Genomic DNA, 14,871 nt, shown 5'->3' on the forward strand with positions numbered 1-14,871 from the left:
TTTTATTACACAGACAGTTCTGTATCCTGCCTTTTAAAACTTATATCCTGCTTATCTTTCTGTATCAGGGTATAGTGAGTTCTTTCATTCTTACTTATAATTATATGTTTTTCTATTATAATGGCTATATTATGTCTTATTTAATTATTTCTCTCTTGATGAACAGTTGGGAAAGTTCTCATCTTTTGCTATTACAAACCACAATGCGATGAATAACATTGCATGTATGTCATTGTGTACAGGTGTACGTATATTCTAGGATAAATTTCCAAAAGTAGAATTGCTGAGTTACAGAGTGAATGCATTTCTGATTTTGATAGTGCTCAAAGGTCTGGGGGCACATAGAGATGGTGCTTTAGCAGTGAGCTTAGGCTGACAGCGGTTAAGAGAGACATGCCTCAGGTTGCCAGTTAAAAAAAAATCTGCATAATGTGTTGCTTAAAGAATGTGGTAAGGTGAAAGCTTGGAAATACTGGTGTCATTGGAAAGACAGAAATAAGACAGAGATTGTGTTGGGAAGAGAACACGGAATTTCGAGTAATTTCTGCCTGGGTTTGCATCTTGACCCTGCCACTCCTGGCTGCATGACCTTGGGCAGGTTGCTTCACATCTCTGAGCTCAGTATCCTCACCTGTAAAATAAAGACCATGATAACTTCCATTATAGGCTGCTGGAGGAAGTAAAAAAGAAAATATAAACAGCAGTTAGCATGATGCCTGGCACATGGTGTGCATTCAGGATATAACTGGGGCCTTTGGGTGAGTAACCAAGTTCATAATGACTCATAGCTAGCTAACATTATTATATTATATATACTATACTGTATTAGTGGGAAATAGCTAACATTTATTGAGTGTTTACTGTGTGGCACGCACTGTGCTTACTGCCTCCCATGAAACATTCCACTTACCTCTCATAACAACTCTGTGAAGTATTCTTGCTCACCTCAGCTTACAGATGGGGAAACGGAGGCAGGACACTCAAGTACTTTGTCTGTTGAAACACTGTGAACAAACGACAGAGCTTATATTTGAACTGAAGCCACTTGTCTTGGAGGGCTCCTCTGATCCCACATCCTGTTCTTTTTTTTTTTTTTTTTTTGGGAGATGGAGTTTTGCTCTTGTTGCCCAGTCTGGAGTACAGTGGCGCAATCTCGGCTCACTGCAACCTCCCTCTCCCAGGTTCAAGCAGTTCTCCTGCCTCAGCCTCCGGAGTGGCCGGGATTACAGGCACCCACCACCACGCCTGGCTAATTCTTTGTATTTTTAGTAGAGATGGGGTTTCACCATGTTGGCCAGGTTGGTCTCAAATTCCTGACCACAGGTCATCCACCCACCTCAGCCTCCCACAGTGCTGGGATTACAGGCATGAGCCACTGCACCCAGCCCATCCTGTTCTTTTGATCCACGTATTATAACATAAGAGGCTGACTTATTCTGAGACAAGGACATCATGGGTGGAGCCCCCTTCTCATCTCGGTGTGACCTAGTTCAGCTTCCCCATCTCTTAGGCAGATACCATTGGGTTCAGAAAGGTTCAAGGACACTTTTTCTCCTCTTAGCTTAGTGCTTCCTCAAGTGATCCATGACTTATGACCTTATGACGATGCCGTGTGGTGAGTCTGAAATCAGATGAAGATTTTTATCCCGACATGATGAACACAAGCATTGCATAACCTGACTCGGGTTACCCAGGATCTTTCCTCTGCTTGTGGTCACCACTGCTAGGATTTTGGAAGAACCCTTTAAAAACTAAGCTCTCTGAGGACAGGCATTTTTGTTTGGTTCACTATTGTGATGCCAATGATTAGAAAAATGCCTGGGCCCATAGGAGGGACTCATGTTCAATGCAGAGGTGGATAAATGAGAAAGAGACTGTTTGCCGCAGAATACTAAGAGATTTTATTGTTCTTGTCATAGGAACCAGGCAATATTCCAGACACACATGACATCAGTAACATCCATATGTCTGTGATGGGGTAGGAGAGAAGACTACTTTTCAGGTGGGACATTTTGATTGGAGAGGGTCTCTGATTCAGAGAGTGAGGTGAGCTATTTTCTTCTTGGGAGTTCTTGGCATTTGATAATCCTTGGTGTTTATTTCAAAATATGGAAGAATTTGAGATTTACTTAGACATCTTGGCATGCAGTGCTAAACCTCAGACTTCCTGAATTTATTTACCAGCTAGGGGAAGCATATTCCCAACTTTAATTGTATTTACAAAGGGCTCTAATCTGGTGTGAAGTCTGAAGGCATATTTGTTGTAGGAGTTACTCAATTAGCCAGTGAGAAAAGAACAAAGGAAAAGTCATTATGCAGATGTATGCCCATTCAAATCTATTCCGCCTCTAGATGCTTTCTTCGTAGTGAAGGGAAGAACTCCAGTCTGCAAGTCTCTCGTCTCTGCTGTGTTTTCTGCTAATTCTCTTCTAATATTAGGCCATGAATGATTAATAATATTGCATTTTGACACTGTTAGATTTTGTCAATTTTTTTCAATATAAAAGCAGATAATTACAGATTACTTTAACATCCAGGAAGTGAAATCAACCATGAATTACACTCAGACTCATCCACGACCCCTTGAATATCTGTCTTTTTTTTTTCAATAGGAGATTGAAGTTTCTTTAGTCAATTACACAAGTCATGTCTGACAATTGAGAAAATGCTGTTCACATAAAACATCATAAATTAAAAATATACAGTGTTTATATTTTAATACAGTAGGGTCCCAGGATTCAAACAAAGAATTTTGATCTCAGAGGTTGCATTATGTAGTTATGTGTTCTGCTTTAAAGAACTATACTGGAGGTAAACTTGAAACTGCCTTTGCAGAAATTATAACTGAGGAAATTATGACAGTGAAAGAGATCAGACCTAACCAACTACACCTTTTATCTAATCTTAAAGCTATCCTTATTCATTCCTGGGCATAGGCCGAAATAACCTTGGGAAGGAATTTAGTTTACAGTTTGACTCTGAAACAAAATTGATAATAGCCGTTTCCTGAAAAGACCTCCTTCTTGCCTGGTGACCAGTCTGCCTTTGTAGGACTAACAAATTGGCTACAAGATTGGAAATTATGGTTTAGGGGTCATGCAGCCCCTGACTCCAAGAGTCTGAACCTCCCCAGATTGCTCCTAGGGATAGCGTCATTATTGTAAAACTTAAGATCAGTGCTTGAGATATTTTGCAAACCCTGCACTCAGTGGATCAGCTGACACCACCCAGACTGGTAACTTGGCTCCCAGTTCTGCCATCCCACCCAGGAACAGAAGACCACAAAAAAACCTCACTTCGACCCCCTATGATACCATCTCCAACCTGACCAATCAGCACCACTTCCTGAGCCGCTACCCACCAAATTATCTCTAAAAACTCTGATCCCCAAATGCTCCAGGAAGGCTGATTTGAATAATAATAAAACTCAGGTCTCCCGCACACGTGGCTCCGTGTGAATTACTGTTTTTCCACTGCAGTTCCCCCATCTTGCTAAATTGGCTCTGTCTAGGCAGGGGGCCAGGTGAACCCATTGGATGGTATATTTCTCAAGAGTCAAATATTAATAGGTTTAACATGTAAGACTTACATATGTGTGTGTGTGTGTGTGTGTGTTTACATATACATATATTTCAATAGCTTTTGGGGTTCAAGTGGTTTTTGGTTACATGGATGAATTATAAATTATATAGTGGTAAAGTCTAAGATTTTAGTACCTGTCACCTGAGTAGTGTACACTGTACCCAATATGTAGTTTTTGTATCCTTCATTCCCTTTTCATCCTCTCCTCTTCTGAGTCTCCAGTGTCCATTATATCACTCTGTATGCCTTTATGTACCTATGGCTTAGTTCCCACTTATAAGTGAGCATATATGGTATTTGGTTTTCCATCCCTGAGTTATTTCACTTAGAATAATGGCCTCCAGCTCCATCCAAGTTGCTGCAATGACATTATTATATCATTATTTTTTCATGGCTGAGTAGTATTCCATGGTGTATATGTACCACACATTTTCTTTATCCACTCATTGGTCGATGGGCACTTAGGTTGGTTTCATATCTTGACAGTTGTGAATCCTAAATTTTACGTGCAAGGTTTTGCATCTGTAGAGGAAGACAGGATTCTCAGTGCATGTGCCAATTTTTGGGTTTTCCACTTGAGAATCTTCACCAGTTTTCTCTTCAGAATCAAATTCCTGACTATCTGGTGCTTCAGAGTTATCCAGAGGTTCATCATTCAGTCTCTGGGTTGCCTCTGTCATATACTGTACTCTGCCGCTTTTGCCAATTGTTTACTCTCCTTTTCCAAGTGGTCAATTTCATTGTTCTTTCTTCAATTTCTCTGTGAAGCCTCTCATTTTCCTTAAGTGTTTCATAGAGGGTGTTCCTTTGTTCTGCTACTTCTCTCCAATATTGAGGGGATAAATTTCATTTAATCCTAAAATCAAATGCTTCTTGGGTGACTCCTCCAAGATTTTAATTGTCACTCTATTCTGGGACAATGACAACTCTAGAGTGGGAAGTCCTGGCTGTCAACTGGTCATTCCAATGCTTCCTCTTGGATATGCTTTGGGCCAGTCACTTTTTTTTTTTTTTTTTTTTCCGACAAGAGATCTGGCTGTGGAAGGATGAATCATCTTCAGAGTTCTTCTTGGGGAGAAACTGTTCTTTACATCTTTGATTCCTCCTTGTTTCTACTTTATCCTAGGATTCATTATACAGCTGGTAAAGCACAAAAGATGGGAGGAGAGGATTAATGATCATAGTGAATTCAGGTGACTGTGGCACAGCCAACCTACATTGATCCCCACTGTCGCTGGAGTGGCTGGGGCACACTGCTGAAAAGACTTACTCCTCTTGAACATACTCCTTTGAGTAGTTTTTATATATGTAATTTTGCATATTTTTTTCATTTTTTTTATTATTATACTTTAAGTTTTAGGGTACACGTGCACAACGTGCAGGTTAGTTACGTATGTATACATGTGCCATGTTGGTGTGCTGCACCCATTAACTCGTCATTTAGCATTAGGTATACTTTTAATCGTAGTGCCATACAATTGTATTGCATTTTCCATTTATAGCATATTATAATTATTTTGACTTTTATTATGAAACTTTCAAACAGAAAAGTAGATAGTATAATAAAATAAAATAAAAAGTATATATATAACAAGTATGTCGGCTGGGTGTGGTGGCTCATGCCTTTAATCCCAGCACTTTGGGAGGCTGAGGCAGGCAGATCACTTGAGGTCAGGAGTTCGAGACCAGCCTGGCCAACATGGTGAAATGCTATCTCTACTAAAAATAAAAAAAAATTAGCTGGGTTTGGTGGTGGGTGCCTGTAATCCCACCTACTCAAGAGGCTGAGGCAGGGGAATCACTTGAACCTGGGAGGTGGAGGTTGCAGTGAGCCAAGATCATGCCACTGCACTCCAGCCTGGGCAACAGAGCAAGACTCCATCTAAGAAAAAAATTATATATATAACAAGTATGTAAACAAAATACATAAGTAAAAGGTAGAATAAAAAAAGATAGCATAATACACACCCATGTATTTATTGCTTAGAATTAACACTAATATTATATTTTCTTTGTGCATTTTTTTTCTTAAGTGGTTCAAAAGAAAGTACAGACATCATGATATTAAACCCTAAATCAGTGGCTCTCAACTGAGGTTGACTTTGACCCTTGTCCTCCGCAAGAGGACTTTTGGCACTGTCTGGAGACAATGTTGGTTGTCACAAAAGGAAGCATGCCTGCATCCCTGGTAGAGATCAGGGATGTTACTAAACATGCTACAATGCACAGGACTGCCCCCTCCAAAACAAAGAATTATCTGGTTCTAAATGCCGGTAGTGCTGAGGTTGAAAACCTTTGGTCTAAATGATTAAGAATGCGTTTCTTAAAATGCAAAATTTCACATAACCACATAGCACCATCACTTCTAACAAAGAGAAAAATAACTCTTTAAAATTGTCTAATAACCAGTCCATGTTTCCCCACCATTCCACTAAAATGTTTTTTACAGCTGGTTTTAGCAAACACTTTCCATTTTATTAGCACTGTTAATAGAATCTCACTCTAAATGACTACAGAATAGTCTGTTAAATGGATTCCCTGAAATTTATTCAAAGGATCTATTTTTGGATATTAGTTTTGCTTCCAGGTTTTAGACAAATTATATTTTTGTAAATAATGAGAGTTTACTTCTTTTCTAACTTTGTGCCTTTTCTTTCTTTTATTTGCCTTATGTTCTGGCTAAAAACTTCAGTAAATACTGAACACAGCATATGAGAGTGGGCATCCTTTTGTTGTTCCAGATTTTAGGAGAAAAAGATTTAATATTTTATTAAGTATGATATTAACTGTAGGTTTTTAAAGATGAACGTTATCATATTGGAGATGGTCCCATCTATTCCTAGTTTCACTGAGCGTTTTTATCATAAAGAACTAATGATTTCTGTCAAATTTTTTTTCTGTGTATTTTGAAACGATCAAATGGTTTTCAAACTCTTACTCTGTTATAGTATGATGAATTATATTGATTGATTTTCATTAAACCAACCTTGCTTTCTTGGAATAAACCTTGCTTGGTCATGATGTATTATTCTTTATATGTATGTATAAATATATATCTATAGATACATATACATATATACATATATCTATCTATATATATAGATATGTATACATATATATATAGAGAGAGCTGGATTCTGTTTGCAAATATTTGGTTTAGAATTTTTGTGCCTATGGGCTGGGCGCGGTGGCTCACACCTGTAATCCCAGCACTTTGGGAGGCCAAAGAGGGCAGATCACGAAGTCAGGAGTTTGAAACCAACCTCACCAACATGGTGAAACCCCGTTTATACTAAAAATACAAAATTTAGCTGGGCGTGTTGGTGGGTGCCTGTAATCCCAGCTACTTGGGAGGCTGAGTCAGGAGAGTCGCTTGAAACCGGAAGGGGGAGGTTACAGTGAGTCGAGATTGTGCCACTGTGCTCCTGCCTGGGCAACAAGAGTGAAATTCCGTGTCAAAAAAAAAAAAGAATTTTTGTGCCTATGTTCGTGAGGGATTAGGCTGTTATTTTTTTTACTTGTAATAGCTTTGTTATATTTTGGGGTCAGGGTGATGCTGGCCTTCTATATTAAATTGGGAAGTGATACCTCTTCCTCTATGTTCCGAATTTGTGCATTATTGATATTTCTCCCTTACATGTTTTGTAGAATTTACTAATGAACCATATATGTGGAAAATTTTCTTTTTAGAAAGGTTTTACAAATTTAATTTCTTTAATAGCCATGGGGTTATTTATTTTCTGTGTCTTCAGTTGTTAGTAATTTGTGATTTGGATTAATTAATATAAGTTGTTGAATTGTTAGAATGTTTTAATATTTATCCTTTTTAACATTTTTAGAATATGTAGTGCTGTTTCATTTTTATTTATGTGGGCAATTTGTGCTTTCCCTCTTTTTTTTGTCCATTGTTGTTAAGACTTTGTATTGCCACTTTACTATTAGTATTTCCTTTCTTTTACTTGCTTTAGATTTACCTTATTCTTCTTTTTCTAGCTTCTTAAGATGGAAGGTTGTATATACCTTTCTTCTCCAGTGTAAGTATTTAAAGTCATAAATTTTCTTCTAAGCACTGCGTTAGCTTTATTTCACAAATTTTGATATATTTTCATATTATTCAGTTCAAAATATTTTACAGTTTCCTTTATGATTTCTTTTTTGATCTATGGGTTATTTAGGAGAGGGTTGTTTTATTGCCCAATACATAGGGGATTTGCTAGATATCTTATTGTGAATGATTTTATTCTATCGTGTTACTCTGTATGATTTCATTCTTTGATATTCATTAATACTTTTATATGATCCAGAATATGGTCTATTTTACTGAATGTTCCATGACAACTTTAAAAGAATGAGTTTTCTGCAGCTGTTGGATGTAGTAGTTTAAAATATTATGTCAGTTTGGTTTACAGAGTTGTTCAAATAGTGTTTACTGAATCTTTGATCTGCTTGTTCTATCAGTTATAAGTTGAGCATCCCTAATTTGAAAATCTGAAATCTGGAATGCTCCAAAATCTAAAACTTTTTGAGTGCTCAGAGTAAATGCTCATTGGATTTGGAGCTTCATATTAGGAATGCTCAACCAGTAAGTATAATGCAAATATTCCAAAATCTGGAAAAATCCAAAATCCTTCTGGTCTCAAGCATTCTGGATAAGGGATGTTCAACCTGCACCAAGAGGGTTTACATTCTCCAACTATGATTGTGAATTTTTTTTTATTTCTCCTTTCAGTTCTGTCAGTTTTTCCTTTGTGAGTTTTGGAAATGTGTTGTTAGGTACATCTATATTCATGATTGTTTTCTTCTCAATTATCCTTTTTTTATTATTTTGAGGTATTCTTCTTAATATCCAGTCATACTCTTTGTTTAAATGCTACATTGTCTGATATTAACATAGTCATACCAGATTTCTTATTTTTGGTGTTTTCATACTGTATCTTTTTCTTTCCTTTTACTTTCTATTGGCCTGTATCTTTATAATAAAATTGTGTTTCTCAAAAACAACCTATAGTTGGGTGTTGCCTTTCATATCCAATTTACTAAGCTCTGACTTTTTCTTAGAGGAGTTAGTCCATTTACATTTAAGGTAATTATTGATATGATTCGACTTATGTCTCCCATCTTGGTATTTGTTTTATATTTATGGTATTTATTCTTTATTCCTTTGTTCATTTTTGTCTTTTCAGGGGAAAATTAAGTATTCTTAATATTACTTTTATATCCTCTGTGGATAGTTAGATTATATTTCCTTTTTAAAAAATTTAGTGGTTACTATAGAAACTACATGTAAATGTTCACAGTATACCTTCAAACAATGTTTAACCTAATTCACAGTATAAAAATCATGCTGCAGTATAATTCCACTTATGTCCAATCCTGCCTTTTGTGCTCTTGTTATATTCTGTGTTACAGTGACACATATGGTATTAATCCTATCATACGTTGTTATTATTTCCAGTCTACACTGTAAATAGTCACTTAAATATTTGAGAAATTATAAATGTAAAAATAAAAGTCAAAAAAGGTCTTTTCCATTTATACAAATATTTACCTTTTCTGGTGTTTTTAATTCCTTTCTGCACATCTGGGGTTCCATCTGATATAATTTCCCTCAGCCTGAAGTATCAGCAAGTATCTCAGATTTTGTCTCTCTAAGGATATCTTTATTTCATCTTCATTTTGAAGGATATTTTTTGCTAGACATAGAATTCTCTGCTTCCATTTCTTTTTTCTTGTCATACTCAATGATGTCATTTAATTGTTTTCTGGCTTTATTCTAGATTCTGATGAAAAGTTAGCCATCATAAATTTTTTTCTAATGTATTTAATGTGTCATTTTATTCCTATTGCTTTTTAGATTTGCTGTTTATTGTTTTATGTGATTTTTGGTTGTTAAATAGCTAGGTAAGGTTTTCTTTATATTTATCTTGCTTAGGGTTCACTGAGCTTCTTGGCTCTACAGGTTTATGTCTTTCATCCATTTTGGAATGTTCTCAGATGGTTATTATTATATCAAATATATTATCTATCCAGTTTTTCTCTTCTCTTTCTGGAACTTCTATTACATCACTTGATATCATGTTAGATTCATTTATACTGTCCAACAGATCTTGAATATTCTGTTGTATTTTTTCCACTATTTTTGCCTTTTGTGTTTCAGTTTGGATACTTTCTATTGATCTGCCTTTTGTCCCTGATGCTTTCATCTGTTTTTTTTCCAGTGTGCTGTTAAGCACATCTGATGTTATTGATTTCTAATATTGTATTTTTCATTGCTACTTATCCCATTTGATTTTCTTCTAACATTTCCTGGTGAACATGTCTTTAGGAAATTTTCCATTTCTTCATGCATGTTATCTATATTTTTCGTTAGGCTTTTGGCATTTTTATTATAGTTATTTTAAATTCCCTGTCTAATAATTCCAACATCTGAGTCATCTGTGGATCTGTTTTTCTTGATTGTTTCTACTCTTAACTATAGGCCACTTTTTTGTTGTTCTTTAAAAAAATATTAATACGTCTTCTAATGTTTGATTGTATACTGAAAATTCTGTATAAAAGAACAGTAGAGACTAAAGTAAAAAATATTTACATCCAAAAGAGCATGCTTTTGATAAGACCTGTAGTAAATCTCTCCTCTCCTCTAAAATGATCTTCACTTTGTGGAATTTAGTTCATTTGGATTTTTCTGTGTCCTTAGTTCACTGAAGGTTTTCTTTTTTCCAAATAGCTTTGTAGCTCATCTAATTTGTTTTGATTATTTGCATGAGAATGGCATTTTCTGTTGACTTTCTATTTCTGAATTCAAAGTAGTATGCAACCAAATATGCTTCAACAAAGATGTGCATTCACCAAATATTTTTTTAAAAATTTACAATAATTTCCTTAACATAAATTCTAGAAGGTAGACATTGATCAAAATATCTAAAGATTTTTTATGGTTCTTAATAAAATATGGTCATATTACATCTCAAAAAAACAAGGAAGTTATACCTATTTTTAATGAGTGCAAATAACCATTTTGCTTCATAAGCTTTAAGTGTTATAATTAATTTGACTTTGCTAACTTATTCAAAAAATATTATTTCATATTACATACCTTTAACTTCAAGCACTGTACAGGATCAAAATCTTATGTTCATTTTTTAGCAGGACTGACTTTACCTGGAGAATAAGTGAACCCATTAAACATCAGAATTGTTTGAGTAGATAGATGGTAATGACTGATATTTATTGAGTGCTTTTTATGAAAAAAGTGGTGTTTTAATTCTCACAGTGACCTGTGAAGAAGGTTATCATTTCATCACTCCAGAAGGAGGGTTTATTCCCTACAGAGGAGAAAAGAGAGGCTCTGATATAATGGGACAGGATTAAATTCAGGAGAATCTGAGCCCCAAACCTCAGTCTTCCAACTTTGATGTGATTTAAATCATATCTGAATGCAACCAATATTGCTATCTGTATTAGTCAGCTGTTGCTACAATAATGCCATATAACAAACACCCCCTAAACTCACACTTAAAACAATAGTTTTGTATTCTCATTGAGCTGCAGTTTGGCAGTAGAAGTTTTGCTTTAAAACTCCCCTCTTAGTCATTTATTGAAGAAAAACATAATGAATACCTCTTATTTTCCAAGCACTCTTCTGGGCTCTGGAGAAACAACAATGAATAAAATACACATAAATGCTGCCCTTAGGAAACTTACTTTCTTGAGGGAAGAGACATACAGTAAATAAGTAGACTATATAGTAAGTAAGATGCTGATAATTTCTTTATTTTGTTTATTTTTCTTTTTCTAAATTGGTTTCCTCAGATTGAAGATAATTTCTTTCTTTTTTTTTTTTTGAGACGGAGTCTCGCTCTGTCGCCCAGGCCGGACTGCGGACTGCAGTGGGCAATCTCGGCTCACTGCAAGCTCCGCTTCCCGGGTTCACGCCATTCTCCTGCCTCAGCCTCCCGAGTAGCTGGGACTACAGGCGCCCGCCACCGCGCCCGGCTAATTTTTTGTATTTTTAGTAGAGACGGGGTTTCACCTTGTTAGCCAGGATGGTCTCGATCTCCTGACCTCATGATCCACCCGCCTCGGCCTCCCAAAGTGCTGGGATTACAGGCGTGAGCCACCGCGCCCGGCCGATAATTTATTTCTTTTGTTTTTTTTTTTGAGACGGAGTCTCGCTCGGTCGCTAGACTGGAGTGCAGTAGCGCAATCTCGGCTCACTGTGACCTCTGCCTCTTGGGTTCAAGCGATTCTCCTGCCTCAGCCTCCTGAGTAGCTGGGACTACAGGTGCACACACCACTACACCCAGCTAATTTTTCTATTTTTAGTAGAGACAAGGTTTCATCATGTTGGCCAGGATGGTCTTGATCTCTTGACCTTGTCATCTGCCCGCCTTGGCCTCCCAAAGTGCTGGGACTACAGGTGAGAGCCACAGTGCTCGGCCAGATTAATTTCTAATGACAGCTATAAAGCAGTGGAAGAGGAGAGGACGGGCTGTCAGGTGAAGAACAGCAACAGGGATTGCTGTTGCAATGTGCTTTCTCTTATCACTGCGCTTCCTAGCATACCGCCAAACCCTGGCATCTCTGTTCATTTTTACAATGCAGAGCTATTTCACTACTTCTTTGTTTCACTGTCTTCTTCTAAACTGTGCCCTGGGGGGCCTCACATTTCATAACCAAAGCTGCCTATCAAAGTGTTTTGCTAAAGAAAATATATTTAGTCTGGAGAGAAATAATGTCTCTCCCTTAGGGACAGAAGCAGCTGCAGTCAGTAGTAGTTTTAGATAGCATTTTTCTCCTCTGTCACGCAGCATTGCAATCTCTTCTTTATTTAAAAGTTGAAGGTCAGAGGTGAAGATGTGTGGAAACTTACTGAGGAAAGGAGACATTTGCAGAGCACCCACTATGTGCTAGATCTGGTGCAAGCAGATGTCTTCAAATAATCCTTGAATTAGACATTATGATTCCCATTTTCCTAATGCAAAAACTGAGCTGTATGCAGGCAAAATAATCCACTCTCGGACACAAAACCAGCAGTTGCAGATCTAAGTTTTAATTCTTGAGTGTGTCCTTCCAGCCTCCTCCCAACCACCTTCTTGTTGCTTTGGATTGGATGTAGAGAGCTGCTTATTTTATAATCTTTGTGGCTAGACCTGGAATGCTGGCTTTGTGTTTCTGGGCCTCTCTCCCGCTTCATGGCTAGTCTGTGTGGTATAGCCCAACTGCTGCCCCAGTAATAGGAGGAGGCAGTCAGGTCTGGGGGGAAATGAAAGAATTCCCAGGGCACCCGGCAAATGAATGAATTCCACTGATCTTGTTTGGTTCCTTATGGGATCATCCATCATGATTTAACAACTTGCAGCCCAGGGTAACTACAGGCATGCTTCTTGCCCAAAGCCACAGACACAGTGTAATTCATGGCTGAAAAACAGATTTGTTTTTCTGTTATTATTACCTGTATCATGCCCATTATACTATATTATATGCTGTGTTATCATGTAATTTAGTCCTCTGTCTGCCGCATTGACGTTTGCTTTTGAGAAGACTCGGCTTTTCTCATTCTTTTGTAATGCACTAAAGTAAACAAATTCCCTGGCTGTAATGTAAGCAGATATTTGTTGAGGGCCCACTGTGTGTACAGTAGATGGGATACAGAAAAGCTCTGGTTTTGCTCAGGAAACTTACCCTCCTATTGTTTTCTGCATTTAATTTTATTTTTAATTTTTTTCTGAGGCAGAGTCTCACTCTGTTGCCCAGGCTGGAGTGCCCTGGCATGATCTCGGCTCACTGCAACCTCTGCTGCCTGGGTTCAGGCCATTCTCCTGCCTCAGCCTCCTGAGGAGCTGGGATTACGGGCACCGGCCATCACACCTGGCTAATTTTTTTTTTTTTTTTTTGTATTTTTAGTAAAGACGGAGTTTCGCCATGTTGGCCAGCCTGGTCTTGAACTCCTGACCTCATGCCATCTACCTGCCTTGGCCTCCCAAAGTACTGGGATTACAGGCGTGAGCCACCATGCCTGGCCTATTTTTAAATTTTTTAATGCAATATTTGAAACACAGAAATAATATATATATATAACATGTAAGTTATCAAACATATCAACAAAATGAAGACCCATAAAATCATTGCTGTCTTAGTCCATTTGTGTTGCTATAAAGGAATACTTGAGACTGGGCACTTTATTTTAAAAAGCAGTTTATTTGGTGTATGGTTCTGCAGTCTGTACAAGAAGCCTGACACTGCATCTGCTTCTGGTGGGGCCTCAAGCTGTTTCCACTTAGGGCAGAAGGGGAAGTGGAGGGACTGTGCACAGATGACGTGGTGAGAGAGGAAGCGAGAGAGAGAGGAGGAGATGCCAGGCTCTTTTCAGCAACTAGTTCTCCTGGGACTAAGAATGAGAACTTTTTTTTTTTTGAGACAGGATATCCCTTTGTTGCCCAGGCTGGAGGGCAGTGGCATGATCTTGGCTCACTGCAGCCTCCACCTCCCAGGTTCAAGTGATTCTTGTGCCTCAGTCTCCTGAGTAGCTGGGACTATAGGCGCCTACCACCACGCCCTGCTAATTTTTGTATTTTTAGTGGAGGCAGAGGTTCTTCATGTTGGCCAGGCTGGTCTGGAACTCCTGGTCTCATGTGATCCTCCCGCCTCTGCCTGCCAAAGTGCTGGGATTACAGGCATGATCCACTGCACCCAGCCCAAAATGAGAACTCACTTCTTTGAGAATGGCAACAAGTCATTCATGAGCAATCAACTCCCATGCCCCAAACACCTCCCAATAGGTCCCACCTCCAACATGGGGAGAGATTTCAACACGATGTTTGGAGGATCAAATATCCAAACTACATTAAGTGCCTAACTGATTGACTAAAATGACCAGTTCTACTGGATCCATCTGGGTGGAAAGTGCCTCTTGCATCCCCCATCCTATCCCCATGTGGAAATCTACAATCCTGTTTTGTGTTTATCATCCCCTTTCTTTGCTTTGTTAGCTTTACCACAAAGCTTTATCAGTTTTGCTTGCTTTTGAGCTTTATAAAGATGGTCTCATACCTTAAATAATTTTTTTTTTTTTTTGAGACAGAGTCTTGTTCTGTTGCCCAGGCTGGAGTGCAGTGGCACGATCTTGGCTCACCGCAACCTCCACCTCCCAGGTCCAAGTGATTCTCCTGCCTCAGCCTCCTGAGTAGCTGGGATTATAGGCATGTGCCACCATGCCTGGCTGATTTTTGTATTTTTAGTAGAGACGAGGTTTCACCATGTTGGTCAGGCTGGTCTCGAACTCCTGAC

At 38.1% G+C, this 14,871-nt stretch overlaps 1 pseudogene, besides 1 other annotated feature; it reads right to left on the minus strand.

Annotated features, from left to right (window-relative positions):
- Window positions 1,940–2,705: an enhancer, noted in NCBI's record as "OCT4-NANOG hESC enhancer chr16:16632929-16633694 (GRCh37/hg19 assembly coordinates)". NCBI's record gives its function as "activates a minimal SCP1, AML or CMV promoter by ChIP-STARR-seq in naive and primed H9 embryonic stem cells {active_cell/tissue: H9 hESC(naive and primed)}" and the evidence as "EXISTENCE:reporter gene assay evidence [ECO:0000049][PMID:30033119]".
- On the minus strand, window positions 4,091–4,703 carry LOC100133127 (geminin, DNA replication inhibitor pseudogene 1; annotated as a pseudogene).

This window comes from Homo sapiens, chromosome 16 (assembly GCF_000001405.40).
Source record: "Homo sapiens chromosome 16, GRCh38.p14 Primary Assembly".
Taxonomy (NCBI): domain Eukaryota; kingdom Metazoa; phylum Chordata; class Mammalia; order Primates; family Hominidae; genus Homo; species Homo sapiens.